Source organism: Homo sapiens, chromosome X (genome assembly GCF_000001405.40).
Source record: "Homo sapiens chromosome X, GRCh38.p14 Primary Assembly".
In the NCBI taxonomy this organism is placed as follows: Eukaryota; Metazoa; Chordata; class Mammalia; order Primates; family Hominidae; genus Homo; species Homo sapiens.
In genome coordinates, this window is record NC_000023.11 from 40,260,765 (window position 1) to 40,288,128 (window position 27,364).

General features: G+C 48.6%; 1 long non-coding RNA gene and 1 other non-coding gene across 2 annotated transcripts, besides 3 other annotated features; both read left to right on the forward strand.

Moving 5' to 3' along the window:
* The first annotated feature begins 2,152 nt into the window (after nt 1-2,152).
* Nucleotides 2,153-26,957, forward strand: LINC03099 (long intergenic non-protein coding RNA 3099). Its single transcript, NR_110386.1, has 3 exons — nt 2,153-2,788; nt 22,677-22,848; nt 24,765-26,957. It is a non-coding gene; the product is annotated as a long intergenic non-protein coding RNA 3099 (long non-coding RNA).
* Nucleotides 7,067-7,166: an enhancer, noted in NCBI's record as "active region_29538". NCBI's record gives its function as "activates an Ori minimal core promoter by ATAC-STARR-seq in GM12878 lymphoblastoid cells {active_cell/tissue: GM12878}" and the evidence as "EXISTENCE:reporter gene assay evidence [ECO:0000049][PMID:35858748]".
* Nucleotides 7,197-7,246: an enhancer, noted in NCBI's record as "active region_29539". NCBI's record gives its function as "activates an Ori minimal core promoter by ATAC-STARR-seq in GM12878 lymphoblastoid cells {active_cell/tissue: GM12878}" and the evidence as "EXISTENCE:reporter gene assay evidence [ECO:0000049][PMID:35858748]".
* Nucleotides 18,772-19,066: a silencer, noted in NCBI's record as "tiled region #4836; HepG2 Repressive non-DNase unmatched - State 24:Quies, and K562 Repressive DNase matched - State 7:EnhWF". NCBI's record gives its function as "represses a minimal TATA promoter and a strong SV40 promoter by Sharpr-MPRA in HepG2 and K562 cells {active_cell/tissue: HepG2 | K562}" and the evidence as "EXISTENCE:reporter gene assay evidence [ECO:0000049][PMID:27701403]".
* On the forward strand, nt 24,332-24,435 carry LOC124905275 (small nucleolar RNA U13). The gene has a single exon (XR_007068438.1). It is a non-coding gene; the product is annotated as a small nucleolar RNA U13 (small nucleolar RNA).
* Nucleotides 26,958-27,364: the final 407 nt, after the last annotated feature.

Genomic DNA, 27,364 nt, shown 5'->3' on the forward strand with positions numbered 1-27,364 from the left:
AATACAAAAAAAAAATTAGCCAGGCATGGTGGCGGGCGCCTGTAGTCCCAGCTACTCGGGAGGCTGAGGCAGGAGAATGGTGTGAACCTAGGAGGCGGAGCTTGCAGTGAGCCGAGATCGCGCCACTGCACTCCAGCCTGGGCGACAAAGTGAGACTCCATCTCAAAAAAAAAAAAAAAAAAAGGAAAGAAAGGTGTGACAGTTTGGTGCTTTCCTGGAAGGTGATCCATTCACCGGTGCCGATAGAGGATGCCCTGCTAGATCACAGTTGTTAAAATCCAAGAGAACTGGGTTAGAGTCCCAGCTCTGACCCTGGCTGGGCCACCTTGGACAAGTTACTTAACACCTCTGAGTTCTGCTTTAAATGGCATACATTCCGCATCTCCCACAGTACCTGAAACACAGCAGGCACTCCATAAATGATCATTATTGTGTCTTAAATTTACTCCTAACTTTTGGCAGCAAATATTATCACCCCATTTTGTGGAGGGGGCCACAGAGGTTCAGAAAGGTTCACCAGTGTTTCAGTTCCTTTTTGCTGTGCAAAAACCACCCCAAATCTTAGTGGCTTAAAATGACAATTAATGATAATTTCTCATAATTCTGTAGATTGATTGGGTGGTTCTTGGGTTCCATATGGTGTCAGCTGGATCTCTCATGGGGATACAATCAATTGGCAGCTAGATTGGGCTGGAAGGTCAAAGAAGGCCTCTCACATGACTAGGGCCTTGGTGCTGGCTGTTGGCTGGGTGGCCTGAGCTCTCTTCTTCACGACCTTTTCATCTGGCTGGCTTGGGCATCTTCAAGTATGGCAGCTGGGCTTCAGGAGGGAGTGTTCCAAGAGGACAAGCCTCAATATGTGAGCAATTATCCTTCCTCTGCTTTTCGTCATGCTCATTAATATTCCATTAGCCAAAGAAAGTCACATGGCCAAACTCAGAGTCAATACATGGGATGTGGGAGGTACGGCTCCTTGAGGGCTGCCTGTGTAACAGTCCAGCCACAAAGGCTTGCCTCGGATGCCACAGCCATTGACTGGTATAGCTGGGATTTGAACCCAAGCCTGTCCGACTCCAGATCCACGCTCCTTCCTCAAGTATTGGTTGAGGCTGGCGTTTGTGGTTCCACTGCCTGAGCCTAGTGGTTAGGCGATTTTCCATCTTGTCTCCAGCCCACCCGTGTCCCTGGTACTCTCTGTGATGTTCTCATCGTACCTCTCCTGCTCCCAACAGAGGGGAGAGAAGCACCCTTCTTCTGCTGGGCTCCCCCTGCCCTTTACTCCTCCATGTTGACTGCAGAGAGCTACTCCTGCTTCCTCCAGAGTCCCAGCCAGGTCGGTGGTGGCCCCATCCCTTCTGACCCCTCCTGCAGCAGCAGCAGCCTGGCTCTGTGGGCCTCATGACCCACATGCCCTTCTGGGCCTCAGCTCAATTTTCAAGGGTACTTTTATTGGGAAAGCGAGGGATCACGAGAACAAAGGCAACATCCTTGAGATAAGCCCAAGTTTACAGCACGCTGTCGTCATCCCAGTGGACTTCCGGTCTGCCTACCAGCTGGGCCGTCCCCTGAGATGGGCCCCCTCCCCTGACCCCTGTCTACACTCAGCCAGAAGCTGATTTGAGCTGGTCCCACAGTGCTGCCTGTGGGAACCCAAGCCCTTCCTGCTCCTATCTGCCTCTGGCTGGATGACGCCCCGGGCAATTCCGCCCACTGTTTTGACCCCAGGCCCCAAACCTAGGTGAGGAACGCCCTCCTCACAGTCCTTCCCTGCTTCCAGTTCAGTGTTGACAGTGAGCAGTGCTCGCTTTGCTATGGCTAGGCCCTCACTCTCCTCTCTTTTCAAGGCCCCAAGAGAGTAAGCCATTTATTCACACCCTATCTTGACAGCAAAGCCGGGGCCTTGAACCTGGGGCACTGCTTTCAGCCATTATTCTTGCAGAGGCCCCAGAGCTCCCAGCCTGCATTTTTGGAGTCTGAGCAGGGCCCACAGCTGTTTTGCTTCAGCTAGGAGTGAAGGCTGACAAAGAGCAAGGTCTCTGGAGAAGGAGGAAATGTTTTCTGGATGCCAAACTGGTGACTGTGGGGAGGTGTGGGGCAGCGGGGAGGGAGGAGCTCTCACTTGTGCCTAGGGAAAGGTCATGGTCAATGAGAAAGCCTTTGATGGGGAGAGTCTGAGATGGGACCCAGGAACATCACCATGAAGCTGTCCAGGATGGATGTGGGACCCTCTGTCAGACCAGGCCAGTTCTCTTAATGTAAGATCAGCAGGCCAAGGTCCTGGGATATGGGAGCTCCCAGGAAGTGGACTGGGATGCCTGAGGGATCCAAGAATTAGCAGTGTCCTGTGTGGTCTCGCTGAGGGAAGCCAGGCAAAATCTAGCGGCTCAGCTGTAACAGCCGGAGCTCTTGGCTCCCAAGCAACAGGAAACAATTCTGGCTTATTTAAGCAGAAAAGGACTTTATCAAAAGGATCTTGGGGAACTCACAAAATAACCAAGAGGGCTGAAGAATACAGTTGGTGAGTCGACCAAGGAGGCTGCACAGCAGTCAGGACCACAGCCAAAGTCAGGCAATCCAGGGATGACCTCGCTGCCAAATCCAGGACTCCCTGGCATACACTGCCACCTTGGGACGTGGATATGGTCCCTGTCGCCCCAGGAACTGGAATGCCATTGACTTGGCGACTGCCACCATCCACCAGAATGGACTTCTGTGCTCCTTGCATCTCTGTATTATTAGTTCCCAACTCCAAGCCTTTGATGGGGGCATCTGATGGATTGAGCCTAAGGTAAGAGCCTATACCAACTGCAATGGCGGCTGGGAAAGTGCCCCTATCTGGGATTTTTAGCTTTTCTGGTGGGAGGCAACTAGGAAGATGAAGGATTCTCCAAACGTGGGAGGAGAGGCTGGAGGCTAGATACCTCACCTAGAAAAATGCAGGGCAGCTGAGTGTTGAAGAAACATGTCTCCAGAGACAGCCTGCGTGTGTATTCCCCCTCCTCCAGATGTCGATGTCGGGGGGCAGGGAGGTGAGGTCAGGAAGTATACGTGGAGTTAGGAACCCTGGGTTCGATTATGAGTCTCCTCTGTCTGTCAACCTGAGATAAGCTATTCACAACCCCGGGGCCTCAGTTGTGCCTCAGTGCCCACTGTCCAGCCTTTGAGCATGCAGAAGGTGTGTGCTAGCTTCTGCTGTCGTGTGGGCCCTCTGGCCGAAAGATGCCCCAAGACTGCCAAAGCCCCAAATGGAATGGGGCTGTTTGCTCAATATAATGATTGAAAGTATGGGTTTTGGAGTCAGGGAGATTGGGGTTTACCAGCCATGTGCCCTTGGATGTGTTCTTTAACCTCTCTGAACCTTAGTTTCCTTATCTGCAAAATGTAGGCATGGTGGCAGGCACACAGCCTCCCTTCCAACCTCGTCCTATGGTGCCCCCATGGTCTGCAGAGACTGGAAGGCTAAAAACTGGATTTCCCAGACACCTTTGCAGCTGGGACTGTGGATGAGAATTCAGTTTCACCAGTTAGATGCAATCGTGTGAAGTCTGGCTGTACCTGCTAGAGGTGTGTGTGTGTGTGTGTGTGTGTGTGTGTGTGTGTGTGTAACAACATTCTAGTGTTTGCTCAGTTACCGGCTTTGTGGGTGTTGAGAGGGGTTGTGGTGGCAGTGGCTTCCTGATCCTTGGATCGCAGCTATGGTAGTGCACTCTGGAAATCTACATTTCTAGAGGCAGGCTCCCTCACGCCTCACCTTCCTGATGGTGGCAGAGATGGCAGTAGTCTTGGCAGACCAGTTCAGTGGTGTTGTTTTGGGAGTCCAGAGACTGCTCCTCCTGCACCCTTCCAATAATTTTGTCAGCACCTAATTTCCTGTGTTAAATCTCTTCTTGCTTAAAATAGCTGGAGAGGTTCTCTCTTCCCTGCAATTGAACTCCAACTGCTGTCAGGGTAACCCCCATTTGCTCATTGATGGAATGAAATGAGATGGTAAAGCCCTTTATGTATGCTAGGTGTTTTTCTTTTTCTTTTTTCTTTTTGAGGCGGAGTCTCGCTCTGTCGCCCAGGCTGGAGTGCAGTGGCACTATCTCGGCTCACTGCAAGCTCCACCTCCTGGGTTTAGGCCATTCTCCTGCCTCAGCCTCCCGAGTAGCTGGGACTACAAGCGCCCACCACCACGCCCGGCTAATTTTTTGTATTTTTAGTAGAGACTGGGTTTCACTGTACTAGCCAGGATGGTCTCAATCTCCTGACCTCGTGATCTGCCCGCCTCGGCCTCCCAAAGTGCTGGGATTACAGGCGTGAGCCACGGCGCCCGGTCTGCTAGGTGTTTTACAAAAACGGGTCTCTTTTTTCAGAGGTGACTAAATGTGATAGAAACCCTGTGACAAGCCACCCTAATTTGTACAAGCTCTCAGCCAGTTGTTTTACATACAGTTGTTGGGGCAGGAAACAACCTGAAAGAATTCAGATTGAGTGGGTCGCCTGCTTTCAAAGGCTCATCAGGTCCTTGTACTTATTCAGGGGGAGTTCTGCCTCCCTGCCTACCATTAGAGCAATGACTGGCACCACAGGCATGGCACAGGCAGCTGGGAAAGGTGACAGGCTTCCTGGTGTGAGCCCAGAAGGTCAGCTGCCAGAGATCCTCCCCCGTCTGTGACTGTGCTCCACCATGATCGTTACTAGTTCGTGTTGAAGTGCACTGTTTAGGCTGGGCGTGGTAGCTCATGCCTGTAATCCCAGTACTTTGGGAGGCCGAGGTGGGTGGATCACTTGAGGTCAGGAGTTCCAGACCAGCCTGGCCAACATGGTGAAACCCCGTCTCTACTAAAAATACAAAAATTAGCTGGGTGCGATGGCTCACACCTATAATCCCAGCACTTTAGGAGGCAGAGGCAGGCAGATTACTTGAGGCCAAGAGTTCGAGACCAGCCTGGCCAACATGGTGAAACCCTGTCTATACTAAAAATACAAAAATTAGCAGGGGTGGTGTCATGCGCCTGTAGTCCCAGCTACTCAGAAGGCTGAGGCAAGAGAATTGCTTGAACCCGGCAGGCGGAGGTTGCAGGGATTGCGCCACTGTACTCCAGCCTGGGCAACAGAGCGAGACTCCGTCCCCGCCCCCCCCAAAAAAATTTAGCTGGGCGTGGTGGCGTGCACCTCTAATCTCAGCTACTTGGGAGGCTGAGGCAGGAGAATCGCTTAAACTCGGGAAGCGGAAGTTGCAGTGAGCAGAGATGGTGCCACTGCACTCCAGCCTGGGTGACAAAGCAAGACTCTGTCTCAAAAAAAAAAAAAAAAAAGCACGTTGTTTAATTCCTGACTCCTCCCCCAGTTAATCTCCACTTGATATTTACAAAACCTTCCCTTCCCCTCCCATGAAGAACAGGCTGACAAAGGATCTTGCTTTCTGTGGTGAAGAATGTTCTCATGGCCATGGCATTGGCCGCCTGAGTTAAGAGTTTCGAGAGAAAACAACTGAGAGGATGTAAATTGTACAGGGACAGGTTGCTTGGGGAGAAGTTCAAAAGACAAGGCTGGGCTTGGAGGACTGGGCCACCCGTGCAGAAGGGCGCTGGGTGCCGTGAAAGGAGAGGAACAGAACTGGAGAAAGGGTGTGAAAGTAAAGGGGGGATCTTGGAAAGCCCCCCCCACCCTGTTCAGTGGACAGAATGCTTCTCTCCCCTCATAGATCCAACTCCCTCATCTTCCCATCTCACCCTCTTGCTGTCATTCGATTTTCTGCCACAAAATGGGGACCCTCTGTGGAGTGAGGAACCAGGCAGGTGGCCCAGGGGGCCGCCAAGCTGGGTGGAAGCTGGTCTGGGGTTGGCTGCCAGAACAATCCAGGCTCCACTCCAGCCCATCAGGGGGCTTGAGGCTGGGTGGGTGAGATAAACTGTTTCAGTGGTTTTCAGGAGCCCTAATCAATTGCGAGGCAGAGCAAAGCCCTCTGCGGACAGATAAAGCCAGTCCTGCGTCGGTGCCCAGTTGGAGTTTGTGTGGTTTGAACTTTTGTGTGGTTTGGACAAGTTCGCCGGGTTTTGCTGGGGCGGTTTATTCTGTTTCCAAACTGCAGTAGAGGGAGGCAAACGGCCCTTGGACCCTACAAGCCACTCCTGAAATACGATAGGTGGCCTGTCCTCTCTCCCGCATGGTCCCAAAGGCTCAGGGAAGAGAGGCAGGGCAGGTGCGGGCCATACCCCGCCCTCCTGGTTCCCGCCGGTGGCTCCGGGTGTAGACATTTCTAGAAACGCTCCCCTGCCCAAGGCTGGCTAGACCTTCGCGTTGGGGAGCTGAGCTGCTGCAGGTTTGATTGTCTTCCCCTGCTTCCAAACTAGAAAGACGAATGCCCACTTTCGGATTCCATCTTCTGCCGCGGACGCATCCGGGACGCGCAGCCGCCCGGCGCAGAGGAAGCCCGGGACGCTGGGGACACCGCCTGGAGCCTCCGCGCATAGCACCGGGGCGTTTTTTCCTTCCAGCTGGAGGCTTCCCATTTAACCTCTAAGGTGCCAGAAGATCCGGATCCCTCGCGGGCAGGCCTTTGGCTGGCTCCGGGCTAGGCTGGGACCCCAGATCCCAGTGCCGCTGGCGAGCACTCGGCGTGCAGATGTCTGGGGGGCTGTGCGCGGGAGAGGAAGTCTGCCCAACGAGGTGGACGGACACTGGGCCCGCGGGGACCCATCTGACAACGCCCGGTCCCCAGGGAAGCCTGTGCGAGCCTGCGGGGGACCAGGGCAAAATAGAATCAGGAACATGTGTTGTTTGGGAGGGAAGCTGGGGCGCATGGCATGTCTCAATAGTGCTGGCACCCTCCAGGGACCTTCCTGCTTCCACAGAAGGTGGGGACGGGGAGGCGAGCATGGAGAGAGAGAAAGGGAAGTGGGAAGAAATTGGTCACGGAGGAAGCTATTTTTATGCTTTGCTACAGCTGCGTGCGTTTCTCTGACCAACTAGGCAGCGAAAATTAGACCGGCTCCGGCTGAAAACAGGCCCTAAACTTCACGGGGGTTGGGGGTAGTGGGACACGCGCAGGAAAGGGAAGGAGAGGGGGAAATCCCCATGGATCTGGCAAACCCCAGTGTCCCGGAAGCTGTCAATGCGCAGAGAACAAGCTCCCCTGCCCTCCCCGACTCCAGATGCCTCAACCTTCACCTTGGATGTCAGAGGCATCCTTTCCCCTCTGTGTGACATCTTGGGCATGACACAGCCAAGACTGAGGGTTAGTTCATCAGTGTCTTCTGCTTTTAGGCCTCAGAGGACTTATCCTTTTTGGCAGGGGACCAGACCTCCTGGGTGGCCTCCATCACCACTAAGTCACTTGGGCACCTGGAGAAATGGCAAAGGTCCCAAACAGGAAACCAAGATTGGGAAGTGAGGGCCCTAGAATTAGAATCTTTTGGGGTCTATGATTGTCTAGGTCAGCAGTTCCCAAAGTGTGGTCTGAGGATCCCTGTGGTTCCCTGAGCCCTTTTCAGACTGTCCTTTTCTAACTGCAAAGCTCCATTAGGCTGGATTTTCTTCAACCAAAACAATGTATCACAACGCATTGGATGCCCAAGCCCCTATGAGGAAGCAGCTGTTTTCAATTAAGCCAGATATTAAAGAGGTTTGCAAAAATGTAAAAACGATGCCACTTTTCTCCCTAAACTTTTTTGTTTGTTTTGGAAAATACGGTTATTTTTTAATAAAATTGTGCTATCGATGTTACCATGTATTTTATCCATTGCTGTGTAACAAGTTACCCCCAAAACTTAGTGGCTGAAAACAACAGACATTTATTATCTCACACAGTTTCTGTGGGTCAGGAATCTGGGAGCAGCTTAGCTGGGTGGTTCTGGCTCAGGGTCTCTTAGGAGACTAATCAGGGTGTGTTCCAGGGGTAGGAGCATCTCAAAGCTCAGCCGGGGAAAGATCCACCTCCAGACTCACTCATGTGGCTGCTGGCAGGCCTGGGTTTCTTGCCACGAGGCCCTCTCCACAGGGCTGCCTCGTGACAAGGCAGCTGGCTCCTCCTAGAGAGAGAAAAGAGGGCACCCAAGACAGAAGGCACAGTCTTTTTGTAATCCAATTTTGGAAGCCACATCCCTATAGGACAATAGATCTATTAGGAGTGAGTCTGTAAGTCCAGCTAGCGTTCAAGGGGAGGGAATTACTCAAGGGTGTGGGTGACAGAAGGTGGGAATTACTGGGCACCATCTTAGAGGCTGCCCACCACACATGTAATATATTCATAATTGTTATTTTTAGATCAATTAATATATAAATATTAAAAATGTTCCTTTTTTCATTTTTAATGTGGGAAATACTGACAAGACCAATATAACCAAAAGCATTTTGGAGTCCTCAATAATAAATAAAAAAGTCAAGGAGTCCCAAGACCTAAAGGTTTGAGAACTGCTGGTCTAGGTTTGTGGTATTTACAGGAGAAGTACCTTGGTACTATGTGGGGGCCAATCCATCCACCCACCCATCCACCCATCCACCCATCCACCCATCCGTTCATCCATCCATCCATCCCTCCATCCTTGCATCCATCTCAGCTATCCACCCATACATGCAATCAAAATATTCCAACTACTGGGCTAGGGCTGGTGCTTTAACAGTAAATAAGACCGCCAGTGATTGTCCTATGGAGCTATAACATGTTAACAGATGACACAATTAACAAATAAATAAGATAAATTTTAAAACAGTAACTTCAAGTTGTGATAAGTTGGGCCCCCAAAGCCTAGACCCTAGAGAAGCAGGTACTCTTGAATTGACACCATTTTGGGGGGCATCATAATAGGTGGCCCACACTGGGGGTGAGGTGGGCCCAGACTGCACGGTCCAGGGAGAAGGGAGTATGTCCCAGCTGTGGCCAGATAAGTGTAAAGCCCTAGTGAGCCAGAATAATCTGGTATCTCCCAGGTTCTTCATGCCTAGTTAATTTTTGGCCCCCCACCCACAATGAGTTTTTCATAAAAGTCCAGCTTCCTTTAAGTCTCTGGGCCCCCCACCCACAATGAGTTTTTCATAAAAGTCCAGCTTCCTTTAAGTCTCTAGTCTTCCTTTAAGCCTGGGGGGAAATCATCCAGGTTTGTCCTGGAAGCCAGGGTACTGGTGACTGTGAGACTTAGGGTGAGAGGCTCTCAAATGGAAGATGCAACCCATATGGGCAGAATAACTGGGACTACAGGTGCATTCCACCATGCCTGGATAATTAAAATAATTTTTTTTTTTTGTAGAGACCCAAGGTGGTCTCAAACTCCTGAGCTCAAGTGATCCTCCCATCTCGGCCTCCCAAAGTATTGGGATTACAGGCATGAACCACTGCTCTCCACCTGATAGCATTTTGATAGGAGGAGTAAGGGATAGTCTGGGGCAGAGACAGGCAGCGATCCCAGGCTGGAGACACAAGGAGGCCAGGCTGTGGGACAGGAGAAGCAGGGGTGGGTGGCTGGGATGGGAATAGAGCATAAATGACAAGTAGTGGCTGAGCGCAGTGGCTCAAACCTGTAATCCCAGCACTTTGGGAGGCCAAGGCGGGTGGATCACTTGAGGTCAGGAGTTCAAGACCAGCCTGGCCAACATGGTGTACTAAAAATACAAAAATTAGCCAGGTGTGGTGGTGCACGCCCACACCTGTGATCCCAGCTACTTGGGAGGCTGAGGCAGGAGACTTGCTTGAATTCAGGAGGTGGAGGCTGCAGTGAGCCGAGATCACCCCATTGCACTCCAGCTTGGGCGACAGAGCGAAACTCTGTCTCAAGGAGAAAAAAAAAAAAGACAAATAGTGACCTTTCCTACTTCAAACCCTTGCCTAGGCCAGCCCTGCTCTGAGCATCAGCTGAAAGACTTTGAGCATTTTTAAAGAGGAAATGTGCCCCCTCCCGCTCCCCTCAACTCGTGGTTTCACAGTGTAAATTGTGCTTCAGAAGGCAGGGCTCACCCCCTCAGGGGACACAGCAGCTTTAATCTGTTACACCTGCTTTTAGTGACCAGGTCCCAGGGCACAGCAGGCTCCAGAAAGACCAGGCCAGGCCTCTTTGGAATGACAGGGGGCAGAGGTGCTTTTTTCTAGGGTGGGTGGGTCTTTGCGGACCAGGCACAATTCTGCTTCCAGAGCAGTCTTCACCATAATGGTCCATTGGTGGCTTCAGCCTCAGGTTTGAAGGTGGGCTACATCACAGCAAAATGCTAAAACCTGGTGAATATTTGTATGCAAGTTCAAGCCCTATTTGGCTCTTGACCCCTTTTAAGAGAGAACGGGGTGTTGCCATTGGTTTCAGGTCTCATCTGTGGATTAAATTTGTGAGCTAATAATAACCAGTTCAACTGCCCCTGATATCAGTGGTTCTCGAAGCATGGTCCTGGCCCAGCAGCATCACTGGGAAGCTTGTTAGAAACACAGATGTTGGGGGCTCACACCAGACTGGCTGAGTCATACTCTTTGGAGATGGGCTGAGGCCCGGGGATCTGTGTTTTAAGAAGCCCTCCAGGTGATTCTGACGCCCATTCAAGTTTGAGAATCACTGTTTATTAAGTGTATTATCCCTATTTAACAGATGAAGAAAATGCAGTTCAGAGGGGGATAAGTAACTCTACCAGGATCAAGCTGCCATCAAGTGGAGTGCCAGGACTCAAACCTGGGTCTTTCATTGGAGGAATTATGTGGGCCGAGCGTGGTGGCTCATGCCTGTAATCCCAGCACTTTGGGAGACCGAGGAGGGAGGATCTCTTGAGGCCAGATGTTTGAGAGCAGCCTGGCCAACACAGCAAGACCCCCATCTCTAAAAAAAGAAAAAAAAAAAGAGAAGCTGTTTTTTCTTTTGATTCTTCCCGTCCATCCATCCATCCTCTTTCAGCCTCGATTCTCTCTCCTGGGGTTCTCAACTTGGCTGCATATTGACACCAGCTGGGGAGCTTTAAAAAATAATATTGACGCTAGGGCTTCACCCTAGGAAATGGCATCTGCAGGGGGTGGCTCCAGCATCCGTACTTTTTTCTTCCCTGCTCACAGGCAGCTTCACCCAGGTTCCACTGCCATTTAAAATGTTTCTTGGCCGGGCACGCTGGCTCACACCTGTAATCCCAGCACTTTGGGAGGCCGAGGCAGGCGGATCACAAGGTCAGGAGTTTGAGACCAGCCTGGCCAACATGATGAAACCCCATCTCTATTAAAAATACAAAAATTAGCCGGGTGTGATGGTGGGCGCCTGTAATCCCAGCTACTCAGGAGGCTGAGGCAAGAGAATCGCTTGAACCCGGGAGGCGGACGTTGGAGTGAGGCGAGGTCACGCCACTGTGCTCCAGCCTGGGTGAAAGAGCGAAACTCCGTCTCAAAAAAAAAAAAAGTTTCTGATGAATGCATTTGCACTAAAGTGTGCGTAACTGAATGTGTTACCTTTCTGGGGTATCTGCATTTGAAAAAAGAAACCAAGGACATAAAATAATGAATTGCATAAGCATCCCAGCAAGTGGGAGAGGCCGGCTTTTGATCCCGATTCGCACTTGCAGTAGATTGATTGCTCTTACGCACCCTGCTGAAATCTACCCGGCAGACCTGCTCCTACCCAGCCTTATCTGAGATTTCTGAATATGTTGTGTCTTTTCGAGGGGTGTTTTGGACTAGAAGAACTTGCATGAATCATTCTTGAATGCCCTTAAGCCATCAGCCTTGCCCACACAGGGCTGAGTTTCCCAAACGGCCAGTCAGTTCCATTCTAACTAGCCAGCAAAACCAAAATCGTTTTTAAAAGAACGTTATTTTTAAAGCATTCCAGAATGAATGCTAAGGACCTCTTTCCTCAGGCCTCTTCCCATGTCCATCCAAACATATTCTGCCACAGAAATTGCAGCAGCACCCAAGTCATAAGTTAGAGAAGAGTAATTCCCCAGACCCCAATTCAAACAAATTGTGTGAGACCCATAGTGTGGGTAACTCTAGGACTTGAAAAGATTTAGATGTTGACCTAGGCTGCAGGCTCCCTCCACCCCCTTTAATTTTAAGTTGTGATCAACCTTTGGTCTTTAAAAGCAAAGAGAAAGAAAAGACCACCCTAAAATGATTTTTTTTTTTTAATGGCAGCGACAGTCTCTACCCTGTTTCCCGCACCTGGTGGGGGACACAGAAACACCTCCGCCCTTCAGGAAACAGCCCACTTGTCAGCAGCTGGGCTCCCAGGAACAAAGGCCTAGGTTCATTACCACAGTATCGACCCTGACACGTTCCACCCCGGCCACCTCCCCCAGAGTTCCTCAATTCACACCCCAAATGAAGTGTAATTGGACCTGGACACCTTTGAAGTCCTCTAGCAGATTGCCAGCATTTTGAAATGTCCTTGATTTGCATGGTGAGGACCTGGTTGGAGGTGACATTTTCCTTCCCCTCATCCCACAGTTTTAAAGACAGAATTATTTTAAATGACATTCTCCAACCAGGAAGAGTTACCATGGAAGAAATAAAAATTCTCAAAGCCAAAAAAAAAAAAAAGAAAAGGAAAAATGTCCGATGATTTGATTAATTTCTAATTCACACTTTGGTCCAGTCCTGTATCTAAGGGTGCCACATAGGGAAGCCATGGTTTCCTCCCCAACTTCTCCCCAGGTCTCCAAGCTGGGGGATGACAAAGACCCTGGAGACTTGGCTAGGAGATTCTGACGGCCAGCAGGCCACTTATCAGACCTGAAATCAGAAAACAAGCGCAGCTGCAGGCCCTTGGGTTGGTGAGGGAGGCGGTGTGTTGATTGCAGACCATCTATCTTCCTTCCCAGCTGAGCCAGGGCTGCTCTGCGGAAATCACGTGCACTCCCAGAAATAAGCATGCCTGTGTGCACCATGAGTCTAAAGCTTGATGGTTTCCTGCAAGCCAGAGGAGGAAGGGCCTGCCTGGTGGAGTCATGCCTGCAGACACGTGTCGAGCCTAGGAGGGGCCAGCTTGGCAGTCCATTTTGCTCTGGGAAGCGGCCAGCACCCAGTTTGCAGCCGCCCCCCAACTTGTCTGCGGAGAGCTTCCTTGGGGGCAGCCATCCTCTGAAGCAAATGACCCACTTTCCCCCAGAGCAGCGCTGTCCGACAGAACCCTCTGTGAGCATGGAAAGGTTTTCTATCTGTGCTGTCCAACAGGGGAGCCACCAGCCACATGTGGTTACTGAGCACTTGAGATGTGGCTGGTGTGACTGAGGAAGTGAATTTTATATTTTCTTTGACTTTAATTGAAGTAGCCACATGTGGCTAGTGGGCAAGTGGGACGGCACAAAGACAGATGAACAAATAAAACCCATAAGAAGGCCGGGCACGGTGGCTGACTTCTGTAATCCCAGCACTTTGGGAGGCTGAGGCGTGAGGATTGCTTAAGGCCAGGAGTTCGAGACCTCATCTCTACCAAAAATTTTTAAGAAGTAGCTGGGTGTGGTGTCGCACACCTTTAGACACAGTTGCTTGGGAGGCTGAGGCAGGAGGATTGCTTAAGGCCAGGAGTTCGAGACCTCATCTCTACCAAAAATTTTTAAGAAGTAGCTGGGTGTGGTGTCGCACACCTTTAGACACAGTTGCTTGGGAGGCTGAGGCAGGAGGATTGCTTGAGCCCAGGAGGTTGAGACTGCAGTGAGCTATGATCGACCCACTGTACTCCAGCCTGGGGGACAGAGCAAGACCCTATCTATAAAAACAAACAAACAGGCTGGACGCAGTGGCTCACGCCTGTAATCCCAGCACTTTGGGAGGCTGAGGCGGGCGGATCAAGAGGTCAGGAGATCGAGACCATCCTGGCTAACACGGTGAAACCCTGTCTCTACTGAAAATACAAAAAAATTAGCCAAGCGTGGTGGTGGGCGCCTGTAGTCCCAGCTGCTTGGGAGGCTGAGGCAGGAGAATGGCGTGAACCCAGGAGGTGGAGCTTGCAGTGAGCCGAGATCAGGCCACTGTACTCCAGCCTGGGCAACAGAGCGAGACTCCATCTCAAAACAAACAAACAAACAAACAAAACACCCAGGAGTGGAAGTCCCAGTTTGCAGGGTATATAATGTTGACTATCAACTCCCCAAAAAAGACCATCAGAAAAAATCAAGCAGTGCTAAGTTTATTAGACCTGCTTCAATAAGAAAGAGCCCCCTTGACAGAATGTTACTAGCGTCTCAAAGTGGGGAAACTGGGGACATGTATTTATAGTGTTTTAGAGCCCAGACTAGGTGATTTGCAAATTGGGTCTTTCAAGGCAAGAAATTTGGACTGGGGAGAGTTTATGAAGAAATAGCTTTCGGCTCTTGAACACAGCAAGGCCAAAGTGCTGTAGTAACCCTTGATTGGCTAGCTAGCTGTTGGTCTTGACAACAAGTTATTTTAGTTGGTTCCATCTTATCTTTCAGAAGCAAGTATTTCTTAGGGCAAGTAGCTAAGTTATTTTTGCTTGTTTTCAGTATTATTTAAACATGGGGACATGAGCATATGCCTGGTCCCAGTATTGTTTAACATAGGGACAGGGAATAACAAATTACCCCAAAACTTTGTGACTTAAAACAATAAACATTTATTATCTCATAGTTTCTGAGAGTTAGGAATTTGAGAGTGGCTTAGCTGGGTGGTCCTGGCTTGGGGTGTCTCATGAGGTTGCAGCCAGGGTGTTGGCCGGCACTTCCAACAGTCATCTGAAAGCTTTCCTGGGGCTGAAGTATACCCACTTTCAAGGTGGCTCGCTCACATAGATGGTGCAATGTTGTTGGCTGTTGGCAGGAGGGCTCGGTTTCTTGCCATGTGGGCCTGTCCAATGGGACTGCTTGAGTGCCCTTATGGCATGGTAGCTGGCTTCCCTGAGAGCAAGTGACTCAAAAGAGAGCCAGACTGAGCCCACAATGTCTTTTATCACCTAACCTTGAAGTCTCAGTTTATCATTTATACACTATCTTATTGGTTATATAGCTTGGCCTCATTTAATGTGGGAGGTGACTGCACAATGAGTTAATATCAGGGGGTGAGAATCCCAGGGAGAAGGAATAATGTGGTTTCAGTTCTCAGTGGTAAGTGGGGATAGTAGTATAAGGGGGATGGAGGTTTCTGGTTTTCAGAGCTGAGAAGCAGTGGTGGCGAATCTGAACGTGTAGGTTGCGGGGACCCACTGACTGACCCAACCTTCCACCCACTTCTTATGGTATATTGTTCCAGTTATTGTTGCTACATAACAAGTTACTCCAAAATTTAGTGACTTCAAACAAACATTTCATTATGCTTATGGACTCTCTGGGTCAGGAATTTGTGCAGGGCACAATAGGGGATGGCTTGACTGTGCCCTGCGATATCTGAGGGCTCAGCTGGAAAGACTCAAAGATCAGAGATGATGTGATGCTTAGGAGCTGGGGTCATCTGAAGGTTCCAGCATTTACATGTCTGGTGCCTGGACTAGGAGGACTCAAACACTTGGACTGTGGATTGAAGAGTTTTCAGGTGACCTCTCCATGTAGCTTGGGCTTCCTCACAGCATGGCAGCCTTAGCATAGTGGGACTTCTTACATGGCAACTCAGGGCTTCAAGTGTGATTGTTCCAAGAAACGCAGCGGAAGCTGCATGGGCTCTTATGACCCAGTCTTGGGAACTTCCATGGTGTTGATTGAACGAGTCACAAGCCTGCCTGGATTCAAGGGAATGGGACACAGACCTCATTTCTCAATGTCAGTGGAGAATGTCAATGTCACATTGTTAAAGAGCACATGAGGTGGATGATATTGTTGCAGCCCTTCTTGGGAAATACAGTCTGCCATGCATGACAATTTCCTAAAGCTTTTGTCTTTGATGGGTGGGAGCAGTGGGGGTGGGAGGAATTAGGGCCCAGGGCATCCTACAGAGCTATCTTTGTTAGACAATGCTTGTTCTGCCCTAATCATAGCTTGCTGGCTGCAATGGTATAAACATTTGTGTCCCCCTAAAATTCATTTGTTAATACTAATCCCCAGTGCAATAGTATTAAGAAATACTAATACCAAAGGCCCAGAGGATGGGCCTTTGGGAAATGATCAGTTCATGAGGGCTCTGCCCTCATGGGATTAGTGCCCTTATAAAAGAGGCCCAAGGGAGCTTATTTGTCCCTTCCACCATGTCCTCACACATAGAAGGTGCCATCTATGACACAGAGGACCCTCACTAGACACTGAATCTGCTGGTGCCTCGATCTTGGACTTTCCAGCCTCCAGAACTGTGAGCAATAAATTTCTGTTGTTTATAAGCCACCCAGTTTATGGTATTTTTTTATGGCAACCTGAACAGACTAAGACACTGGCCCAAGCCCAAGCTGACGGGGACACACAAGGAGGAAGAGATGAATCTAGGAAAGGTGGTTCTTCACACAGGCCCATGGGACAGTGTCCCAGAGGATGGTGCCAGAGAGAGCTCTGCCACTTACTGACTGTGTGGCTTGGACAAGTGGCTTGACACTTGTGTGCCTTACGTCTAAATTGGGAATGATAAGCCCTGTCTCAGGATTTTTTTTTTTTTTTTGAGGTGGAGTCTCGCTCCATTGCCCAGGCTGGAGTACAGTGGCTCGATCTTGGCTCACTGCAAGCTCCACCTTCCGGGTTCACGCCATTCTCCTGCCTCAGCCTCCTGAAGAGCTGGGACTACGGGCACCTGCCACCACGCTCAGCTAATTTTTTATATTTTTAGTAGAAACGGGGTTTCACTGTGTTAGCCAGGATGGTCTCGATCTCCTGACCTCGTGATCCACCCACCTTGGCCTCCCAAAGTGCTGAGATTACAGGTGTGAGCCACCGTGCCCTGCCAGGATCTTTGTAAGGAGGAGGTTACGTACAGTGGGTCAAGTTATAGTAGAGTGGCTGGCACAGAGTGGGCATTCAAGGGATGGTAGCTGCCATCATGATATCATGATGACTTCCCCACCCCTTATCCAATCAGAGTCCAATGATCTGTGGCATAGTATTAGATGTGTCTGGGTAACAAATCACCCCAAAATTTAGTGGCTTAAAATAATGAAAGTCTTTTTTAAAACAAACAAACAAACAAACAAAAACAACTGCCCTTGTTCCTGTGACTCAGAATCCAGAGCTTGGCTGGGCAGGGTGGCTTAGGATCTCTCAAGAGGTTGGCTTCAGAAATTGGCTCGGGTGCAATTCTCTGAAGGCTTAGCTTCAGAGGTGGTTCACTCATGTGGCTGTTGGCTGGGAGCCTCAGTTCTCTTCACACGGGCCCTCTGCAGGGCTGTGTAAGTGTCCTCTAGGCATGATGGCTGGCATCCCCTAGAGCAGGGCTTCTCCATGATGGCAGAATCTGCGTCTGTCTTAGTCCTGCTAGATCTCCAGAGCTCAGCCTGATGCCTGGCCCAGAGCATTCTGTGAGGTTCCAAAGACTGAGAGCTGCCTTAAGTATTCTGTCCTAGTTCTTTACATTCTTCTGCAAGGTCTTTTGGTGTCTCTGCCTATGTTGGCAGTGAACTCCGGTTTTAAAGAAGATCCACACACCTCTGATTGGGAGAACCTTGGGGGAAAGAGAAAATTCAGGCCTGCCAAGTCTCAGGCCCCGCTGCCCCTCCTTGCCAGAGACTTTCCTTCTAGAGCTCAGCCTTGGGCTTCTGAGTACATTCTAATAGAGTCCACACTCATAGAAACCCAAATAACTGTTCCACAAGGCAGAGGGTTGTGTGGGCCCTACGAGAAAGGAGAGAGCATATAGGAAGGAGCTCACATCCTGCAAAGGATAGCTGAGGAGCCCAGTGTTCCAGCTGGGCCAAGAAGGACTGGTCAAAGTTGCTGTTCTGGTTAAGTAGCATGTGCAAAGGCCCTGGGGTGGGCAGATAAGGAACAGGTTCTGGGGCTGCTGAACAGCAGGGATGGGCTGTGAGGATAGGGACAGGTGAGACCGGAACAGCCTCCAGAACTGTGAGCAATAAATTTCTGTTGTTTATAAGCCACCCAGTTTATGGTATTTTAAAGCCGAATCAAAGGACGGTGATAACTGAGGCAGCCACAAGAAGGAAAATGGGGCTGGGGTGAAGAAAATGAAGCAGAGAGCTGAACCAAAGCCACAGCCCTGAGAAAGCGATGATGTAAGGGAAGGAAAGACGCACCGGGGAGAGATATTTAGATGTAAATCTGACCAGACTAGATGTCCAGATTAGATTAGAGGGGAGGAGGTGGGACGGGTGGGTGAGTGGTTTTCCCTCTGAATGTTTAGAGGCAGCTGTGTTTAAGGAGGCTTAAGGTGTTTACTCAGTGTCCTGGGACCAGAAAGAGACTCCAGAAAGCCTGGGGCCCGGCAGAGTTTGGGCCATGATGTCATTCACACAGGGAGTCTGGCTGCAGCCTGTCTGGGGTGAGGTCCCCACTGCGGCTTGTCTCCTAGGCAACCGACTCTGCTGAGAAACACGCAGTAATGACTCTCTAGATTTGCAGGTTACCAAGCAGTTGCACATATATCTTTGTCTCATTTAATTGTCCCAGTGGGAATTATCCCCATTCTACAGATGAAGCCACTGAGGCCTCAAGGCTCAGAGAGGTAGGGTATCTTCTCTCAGGCCAAGGAGATGGCAGAGCCAGGCCTGGAACCCAGTGGTCCTAATCCCTAGCCAAGTCTTCTCTCCAACACACTTTCCTGCGTTCTAGTCTCATAGCTCCCTTAAGAGCTATTTCTATTGAATCCAGTTCACAAGTATTTGCAGAGCTCCTCTGTGAGGTGGGCAGGTGTGGCAGGCTTCAGGTGAAGTTGCAGGCATCTCTGGGTTTTTGGGTGGGGGACCCTGAGAGAAGTGTGTTAAGAGTGTGAGTAGTATGATGGGCTGAAAGTGGAGGGGAGGGTCACCAAGATCAGAATCATCAATCAGAAACAGGTCCCTGAAGGCAGACCATCAGGACGACAAGGATCATGGGCAAAGGCCCATCAAGGCAAGTGTCAAGTTCACAGATAACTTGATAACAGGCCTCTCTGCTATCTCCCTCTTCTGGTGCCAGATGTTCATGAACTTGACCTCACCATTCTGGTTTTGTTTTGTTTATTGTCCCCACCGCACTGCAAGGACCTCCCCTCCCCCTACCACGCCCTTCTTTGTCCATTCCCTCTTCCAGGAATAGGTGGCCAGGGTAGTACCAGGACCCAGAGAGGAGCTATTAATTCCAGCCTCTTATTTCCTTCCTCAGCTCCCTTTGCCTCCGGAACACCTAAGCACTTTCTGTGACAAGCTCTCTAAATGATTGGAACTTTCTCCCAAATCAGCACTTTTTCATGCTACATTAGCATTTATTGGTTTGATATTTACATTTGGCAAAGGAGCACCCAGTCCCTGGGTCCCTGGGAGCACACACCATCAACTGAAACAGACGCTAATTGCCATTCATTGCTCTCCCTTCACCCCCTCAGCCCCGCCCCCATCCGCCATCTGCTTTGTCCTCCCCCCACCCCCAGTCCAGTAAAAGAAAGTTCTGAAGGGTTACCTTTACAGACCAAAAGTTCTGCAGGGGCCCTGCAGAGAGGAGAGAGGTATTCCCTACACAAAAGTCCTGGCAGGACCGATCTGAATTTGCATTGCAATAATGCATGTGTATGATAGCTCTCCTTTGGAGTATAAATTCCTTGAGGGCAGGAATCTATTTTGGTTCTTTGAATTTTTCCACATTCTCCTCCAAGACCAATGATCAAGCTGTCAGAGGTGTTTGAAGCAGAGCAACTCGACGTTGAATAGGGGCTCGGTAAAATAAGGCTGAAAACCTACTAGGCTGCATTCCCAGACGGTTAGGCATTCTTTTTTTTTTTTTTTTTTTTTTTTTGAGACGGAGTCTTGCTCTGTCGCCCAGGCTGGAGTGCAGTGGTGCAATCTCGGCTCACTGCAACCTCTGCCTCCCTGGTTCAAGCCATTCTCCTGCCTCAGCCTCCCGAGTAGCTAGAACTACAGGCGCCCGCCACCATGCCCGGCTAATTTTTTGTATTTTTAGTAGAGACGGGGTTTCACCGTGTTAGCCAGGATGGTCTCGATCTCCTGACCTCGTGATCCACCCGCCTAGGCCTCCCAAAGGGCTGGGATTACAGGCGTGAGCCACCGCGCCTGGCCTCCCAGACGGTTAGGCATTCTAAGTCACAGGATGCGATAGGAGGTCAACACAAGATACAGGTCATGAAGACTTGCTGATAAAACAGGTTGCAGCAAAGAAGCCAGCTGAAACCCACCAAAACCAAGATGGCCACCAGAGTGAACTCTGGTCCTCCTCACTGATACACTCCCACCAGCACCGTGACAGTTTACAAACGCCATGGCAACATCAGGAAGTTACCCTATATGGTCTAAAAAGAGGAGGCATGAATAATCCACCCCTTGTTTAGCATATCATCAAGAAATAACCATAAAAATGGGCAACCAGCAGCCCCAAGGCTATATGGGGTATATATGGGGTAGCCATTCTTTTATTCCTCTACTTTCTTAATAAACTTGCTTTCACTTTGCTCTGTGGACTCGCCTCGAATTCTTTCTAGCGTGAAATGCAAGAACCCTCTCTTGGGGTCTAGATCGGGACCCCTTTCGGGTAACAAAGCTAGGCAAATAGTAGTTTCTCTAAGAGCATTTGTCTACTCTGAAATTAGTAGAAAGTTCCTCCCTCCCTCTGTCTGGCAGCTGCAGTGAAAGACAGTGAAGGAATTATCCAGGGAATCACTAGGAGAATGGAGACCACATGGAAAGGAGGTAAGTTCTCCCTTTTCCCTTTCAAAATCCCCTACAGATTTGACCAAGGAGCCTAGCCCTGCAAGGTTGTGGTGGAAGGAGGAAGCTGTGTGGTAATGTGGTTAGAGCTCAGCTAGAACTGGCTCCAAAAGTCGGCGTTGCTATGTGACTAGTGCTGGGCTGTTTACTCCACCTCTCTGGGCCTCAGTTTCCTTTTTGGTAAAATCACACTTCTGATCGTTTCTTTCCTCATGGGCTGGTGGTGAAGATGAAGTGAGATCAGGCATGTATGTAATGGGCTTAGGGCACCCTGCCAGGCACACAATAGGCTTAGGAGATGTTGGTTCCTGGTATTTCTTCAGACCTTTGGGCCCCATGCTTTGTGAGAGTGGAGTCTAAGTGTAAATTATAATTCCCAAGGGTGTCTCAGTATATTTATGCTGTCCCCTGTGGTTTTGAAGGGCAGGCTCTCACATCAGCCTCAGAGCTTTGCTACTCAAAGTAGGGCCTGCAGACCAGCAGCAGCAGCTTCACCATCACCCAGGGGGCTGTTAGAAAGGCCCACTCTAGACCTGCTGAATCCAAATCTGCGTTTTAAGAAGATCCCCCAGTGACTCATATGCACATTAAAGTTTGAGAAGCACTTTAGAAACCCCCTGTGAGATATGCAATGTGGAAATGACTGCTCCCAATTTGAGGATGCAAAAATTTCCTCAAAGAATTGATGACATACTTTCCCCAATCCCATGAACATCTAGAAGAGAGAAGAGGGTTTGTAACTCCTGTGTGTCCTGGAAACTTCTCTCTACCCGTGGTTCTTCCTTGAAGGCTCAGCACACTCCAGTGAAAGGCAGAGATGAGTGGGCAAAGAGACTAGGGTTTCATCTGCAGGCACATATCCAGGAAGCGGGCAGGGATGCCTGCCGGCTGTCTGTATCTGGAGTTCACCAGGAGGAGTTTGGGATATTGGCCTATCGGCTTGAGTTGGGATAACAAGAAGGCAGGAGAAAAACGTCATGTCAACAGAGACAAACATTTTTTTGTTAAAATAGAATTTTCAAAAGTTTAAAAAGCTTGACTCTCATGCAAATATAAAATGATCACGTCAAAGATTTGATTTAGCTCATTAATTAATGAAGAAACCTGCAAGATGTTAAAACTTATACCCATGAAAATGGGAGTAACTAGTATTTATAGGCAATTTAATAGAAGAATGTTAGGATGAGATGGCTGGGTTGGAAATTATTTGCATTTCTATCGGACAAAAATGTAAAAGTTAACCTCTGCCCCTGCAGGGGCAATCAAGAGTGCAAGCCCAGCTTTGCACTGCAAGAACACCCAATAATCTCTTTTGCCTATTTCCAATTTGGGTTAATTTTTTCTGACACTACCCTCTGCTAGTCCTTGAGAATCCGGAAATAGCTGTTGCTTGAGAATTACCCTTGGAATGGAATGTGGGCCTTGGAAGAAAGGGGGAAAGAAAAGATGAAAGAACCCCTCTTCTACCAGATCTGGAGTGTCCTTACCCGTCTACCTTCGCTGAGTCCTTCAAAGCACAGTGCAACTGCTCCCAGAGGGCATGAGTTGGCATCATGCAGAGGGGAATGATGGCTCACAGGAGGGACACAAGGCAGCCTGCTCCTGACTCCTATTCTCTGTAACCTTGGCCGTTGCGCAGAGGGAGATGATGTATCTGCAAACATATGCAGCCTTGTCCAAAATATTTTCCCCTCCTATGTAGTTCTTGCCAATATTGTTAATCTGTGGGTTGACTTCAGACCAAAATAAATCTCCAGGCCCTGGCCACCAGCTAGCTAATTTTACTTTGTAACCAGGGAATAGAAAGTGCGGGCCCTCAGCCGACCATTCTGTGTTTATTTTGTTTTCTCTCTGCTGCAGTTTAAAATCACATTTGGAAAAGTAGACCCTTTATGCAAAAGAACAGACACTGAGAGAAACAGCAACAGAGATGGATGGATTAAAAACGGCAAGTTCTATCATCGCCACCCCCCCGCCCCGCCACATACTTTTCTCTCTTTTCAGGATTCTGATGGTGCCTGTTGGCTGCTTCCGTGATGTCTGGAGTTGCAAAATGTGCCAGAAAGCAGAAGGATACACCGCTATTCAGAGAGGATTTTCTTAGGGACTTGAAGAAATTGACCTCAAAATTTCAGTAGATGAGAGGACTGTGGCTGGCCTGTGTCTTTGGCACTGGGTACATTCTGTCATTCTTGTTGTACCTACATAAGAGAATTTAACTCTGGGTTCTCCCTGACTAATTCCAGAGGAAGTAAATGGGTAGACCTTTAACACTTCTGTGCCAGAAGTGGGACAGAAGGGACCTTGGAGGGCATCTAGTCCAACCTTGCCAGCTGAGAAGCAGGATTACCTGGTGGTTGGGAGCACAGACTTGAAGCCACATAGCCCCAGTTTGAAACTGACTCCACCGCTTACTAGCAGTATGACCTTGGACAAGTTACTAACCTCTGCCTCAGTTTCCTCATCTGTAAGGTGGGGATGGCAATAATTGTCGTTGCATCATGGGACTCTAGTGGGGGACTAAATGAGTTAACACATGTAAAGCACCAAGAACCTGCAAGGCATACAGTAAGCCCTTGATAAGATAAAGAAATGAGGCTCAGAGAGGAGGAGCAACCTCCCCAAGGTCACTCAGGGAATTGGCAAACTTAATTGGATTCAATGAAAAAAGAAAAGAGGTTATTGCCTCTTGGAAATTTTGACTAATAACTGTTTTCTTTGCCTGTGTTACATCATCCTGGCCGAACACTTGGAGAGAATTCTAATGTGGAAGTCAGGGCAGTGCATTCTGTTGCGGGTGCACCTCTCACTGATGGTGGCCCTAGTTTTGGGCTGGATGGTCTCTGGGATTCCTGTCAGTACTAACATCTTATAATTCAAAATCAGGGTCTGCACTCTCCATTCAAGCCAAGCCTGTCTTTTCCTACAACACTCTTTGCACTCTTTGTTTCCCTCCCCTGCCAACCCCCACCATTTTCCTCTGACATTTTGCCCACTGTATCTCACAGGCATCAACAACCAGTTTCCCCTTGGCTTTCTGACTCTGCCCCCCTCCTCATTATTCCCTCCCCTTTTCTCCTCTGCTAGGGCAATTATGGTCATCAACTGCCCCACACCTTAGCCCTGCAGTTGGCATATTTAAGTTGATTATACATGATCAGTCTTGTAGGTTCCTTGAAAGTTACCATGTTGGCAGCTTGAAAGTAGGGATTTCATTTATTCCTTATCATGACCCACTTTGAGGGCCTGATAGAGTGCCCTTGGCAGGGTTATCCTTTATGGTTTGTTGACTGACGCCAAAACGATTGGAAATATTGGATGAAATCTTACATTATCAAGACTCTTTCTAGTACATTCAGTACAGCTGTCATTGATGTCCTTTGTTTGCAAGGAAGCCAGTATTGTCAAACTCTAAAACCCAACAAAAAGGATATTTTAAAACAATTATAATTTTAAACTTGAAAATGTCCAGCTGGGACACAGGAGTACGTTAGATACTTCTCCTGCCACCCTCCTTTCTCCTCAACATCATCCCACCCCACTCTCCCTAATATACAGGCCCAAGTCAAATGTTACATTACCACCTATTGGTTAAATGAGCCATTGCAGCCCAGCTCTACAAGACATTGTAAATTTCTGGGTAGCAGTGAGTGGTGTAGATCCTTTTATGGTTCATAAGTATGTTGATTATGTTTTCATGCTATTGTGTGAGATGTACCTCCCTCAAACCTTGTTATGATGTCAGCACATTATCCATCTGATGTGAAAAAAAAAAATGGTGAGTGGAGAGTGAAATGCTGGGAGCTGAGAAGGTAGAGTCAGGTATGGCCCAGAGAAATATATTTTGGATTAGGCAGATCCCAAGGAAATAGTGAGGGCTAATAGCAGAGGGAGTCGTAGAGTACAAAAGAAATGACTAAGCACTTTAGGGGCTGCAGAGGAAAAGTAAACAGCTATTTGGGGACACCAACTTCTGCACTGCGTACTAATACTAGTGTAAATATAGCAAGGCCCAGTGTATATATAACAATGCAGATATAGTTGGCTGACCACCAATGTAATCCTGCTTTTCCCAAACCTTTTTCCCTAAAGTTGTTGGAGCCCAATGAAAAATTCTACATTGAAGACTAAGGGAAAAAGAGGTTTCATTATAGAGCTGGGACTGATTGCATTTTCAAAAGGTGGCTGCAACAATATCCCACACACTTTTCTGCTGTATAATCTGCCACTTCTCCATCAAGTAGAGGAGACAATTTCTCCCCTCCTTTGAATCTGAGTGAGTTCTGTGACTGTTTTGACTGATAGAATGATGTGGAAGACAGACTGTGTGACCTGAAAGGTGAGGTCACAGAAAGCCTTGCAACTTCCACCTGGCCTGTGAAGAACACTTGCTCTTGGGATACTCCTTCTTGGAACCCAGCCACCATGCTGTAAGAAGCCCAATCTACATGCAGACACCACATATAAGGCATCGTAGTCAACAGCCACAGTTAAGTTCCCAGCCGGCAGCCAACATCAACTACCAGTCTTGTGAGTGAGCTATCTTGGACATCCAGCTTGGTTAAACCTTCAGATGACTCCAGCCCCAGCTGACACCTGACTGCAACCACATGAGAAACCAGGAATGAAAATCCACCAGCTGAGCCCAGTCAACTCATAGAACTGTGAGAGATAATAATAAGTTGTGGTACTAAGCCACTAGGATTGGGGCACCATGCAATAATAGGTAACCAAGACAGTAGCAACTTTGGTTAGACACATGAGCCATGGGATGACACATAATTAGGTATATTTTTAAAAACTTGGATTCAGCTTTAGGGCAATGTGTCCCTAACATAGAGAGGCACTATTTCAGTTCACATCTGCTGCCTCTGATCAAAACACTCTCTTGCACTTCCAGAGAGAGAGAGAGAGAGAGCAAATGTGTGTATTTACTGACAGGTGTCCCTTTGTGTCCCCATCTGTGTGACTGTGGAGCTCAGTGTCTCTCACACATTCTAGTATGATACTTGGTGCCATATTTGCAGGTCCTGAGGTAAGAACCCATGCTGTTGTCTTCAGAGAGTTTCATGGGTTGGACTGTGCCATATATGGGCAAAAATCCACCCACACGTTTTCTTTTAATCACCTTTATGGATGTATAATTTACATATATACTTTTTTCTTATTACTTTTTATTTATGTAATTTATTCATTTTTTGAGATAGGGTCTCACTCTCTTGCCCAGGCTGGAGTGCAGTGGAGTGATCATGGCTCACTGCAGCCTTGACCTCCTGGGCTTAAGCAATCCTCCCACTTCAGCCACCTGAGTAGCTGGGACCACAGGCACACACCACCACTCCTGGCTAATTTAAAAAGTTGTTTTTTTTTTTTTTTTTGTAGAGACAGGGTCTCACTATGTTGTCAAGGCTGGTCTCAAACTCCTGGGCTCAAGCGATCCTAGTGCCTCAGCCTTCCAAAGTTCCGGGATTACAAGCATGAGCCACCATGCCTGGCATCTTTTGTGGATGTGTAATTTACATACGTACAATAATATGTACCTATTTTAAGTATACAGTTTGATGAGCTTTGACGAATGTAGCCCACGAAACCACCACCATAATCGAAGTATAGAACTTTTTTTTTTTTTTTTTTTGAGACGAAGTCTCTCTCTTGTCACCCAGGCTGGAGTGCAATGGCATGATCCCGGCTCACTGAAACTTCCGCCTCCCAGGTTCAAGCGATTCTCCTGCCTCAGCCTCCTGAGTAGCTGGGATTACAGGCACCTGCCACCACGCCCAGCTAATTTTTGTATTTTTAGTAGAGACAGGGTTTCACCATGCTGGCCAGGCTGGTCTCGAGCTCCTGACCTCAGGTGATCCCCCCTCCTCGGCCTCCCAAAGTGCTGGGATTACAGGCATGAGCCACTGCGCCCGGCCTATAGAACATTTTAATCACCCCAGAGATGTGCCCCCTGTGCAGCCAGTTCCCTCCTCTCACCCCCCAGCCCCTGGCAAGCATTGATTTGCTTTGCCACTATCAATCAATTTTTGTCTTTTCTGGTATTTCATATGAATGGAATCATATAGGATAGATTTTTATGTGACTACACACTATTTTAGCATAATATTTTTGAAGTTCTTCCATGTTGTTGTGTATATCTATAGTTAATTTCTTTTTCTCACTGAATTGTATACCACTGTATGATGTATCACAATTTGTTTATTCATTCTCCCGTTGCTGGACATTTGGACTGTTTATTGTTTGGGGCTACTATGAATAAAACTGCTATGGATGTTTATGTACAAGATTTTGTGGACATACGTTTTTATTTCTTTTCGGTAAATATCTAAGAGTGCTATTACTGGGTATATTAGTCCATTTTCATACTGCTATAAAGAACTTCCCGAGACTGGGTAATTTATAAAGGAAAGAGGTTTAATTGACTCACAGTTCAGTACGGCTGGGGAGGCCTCAGGAAACTTATAATCATGGCAGAAGGTGAAGGGGAAGCAAGGCATCTTCTTCGCAAGGTGGCAGGAAGGAGAAGTGCCAACTGAAGGGGAAAGATCCCCTTATAAAACCATCAGATCTCTTGAGAACTCACTCACTATCATGAGAACAGCATGGGGGAAACTGCCCCCATGATTCAATTACTCTGCCTGGTCTCTCCCTTGACATATGGGGATTATGGGGATAATGGGGATTACAAT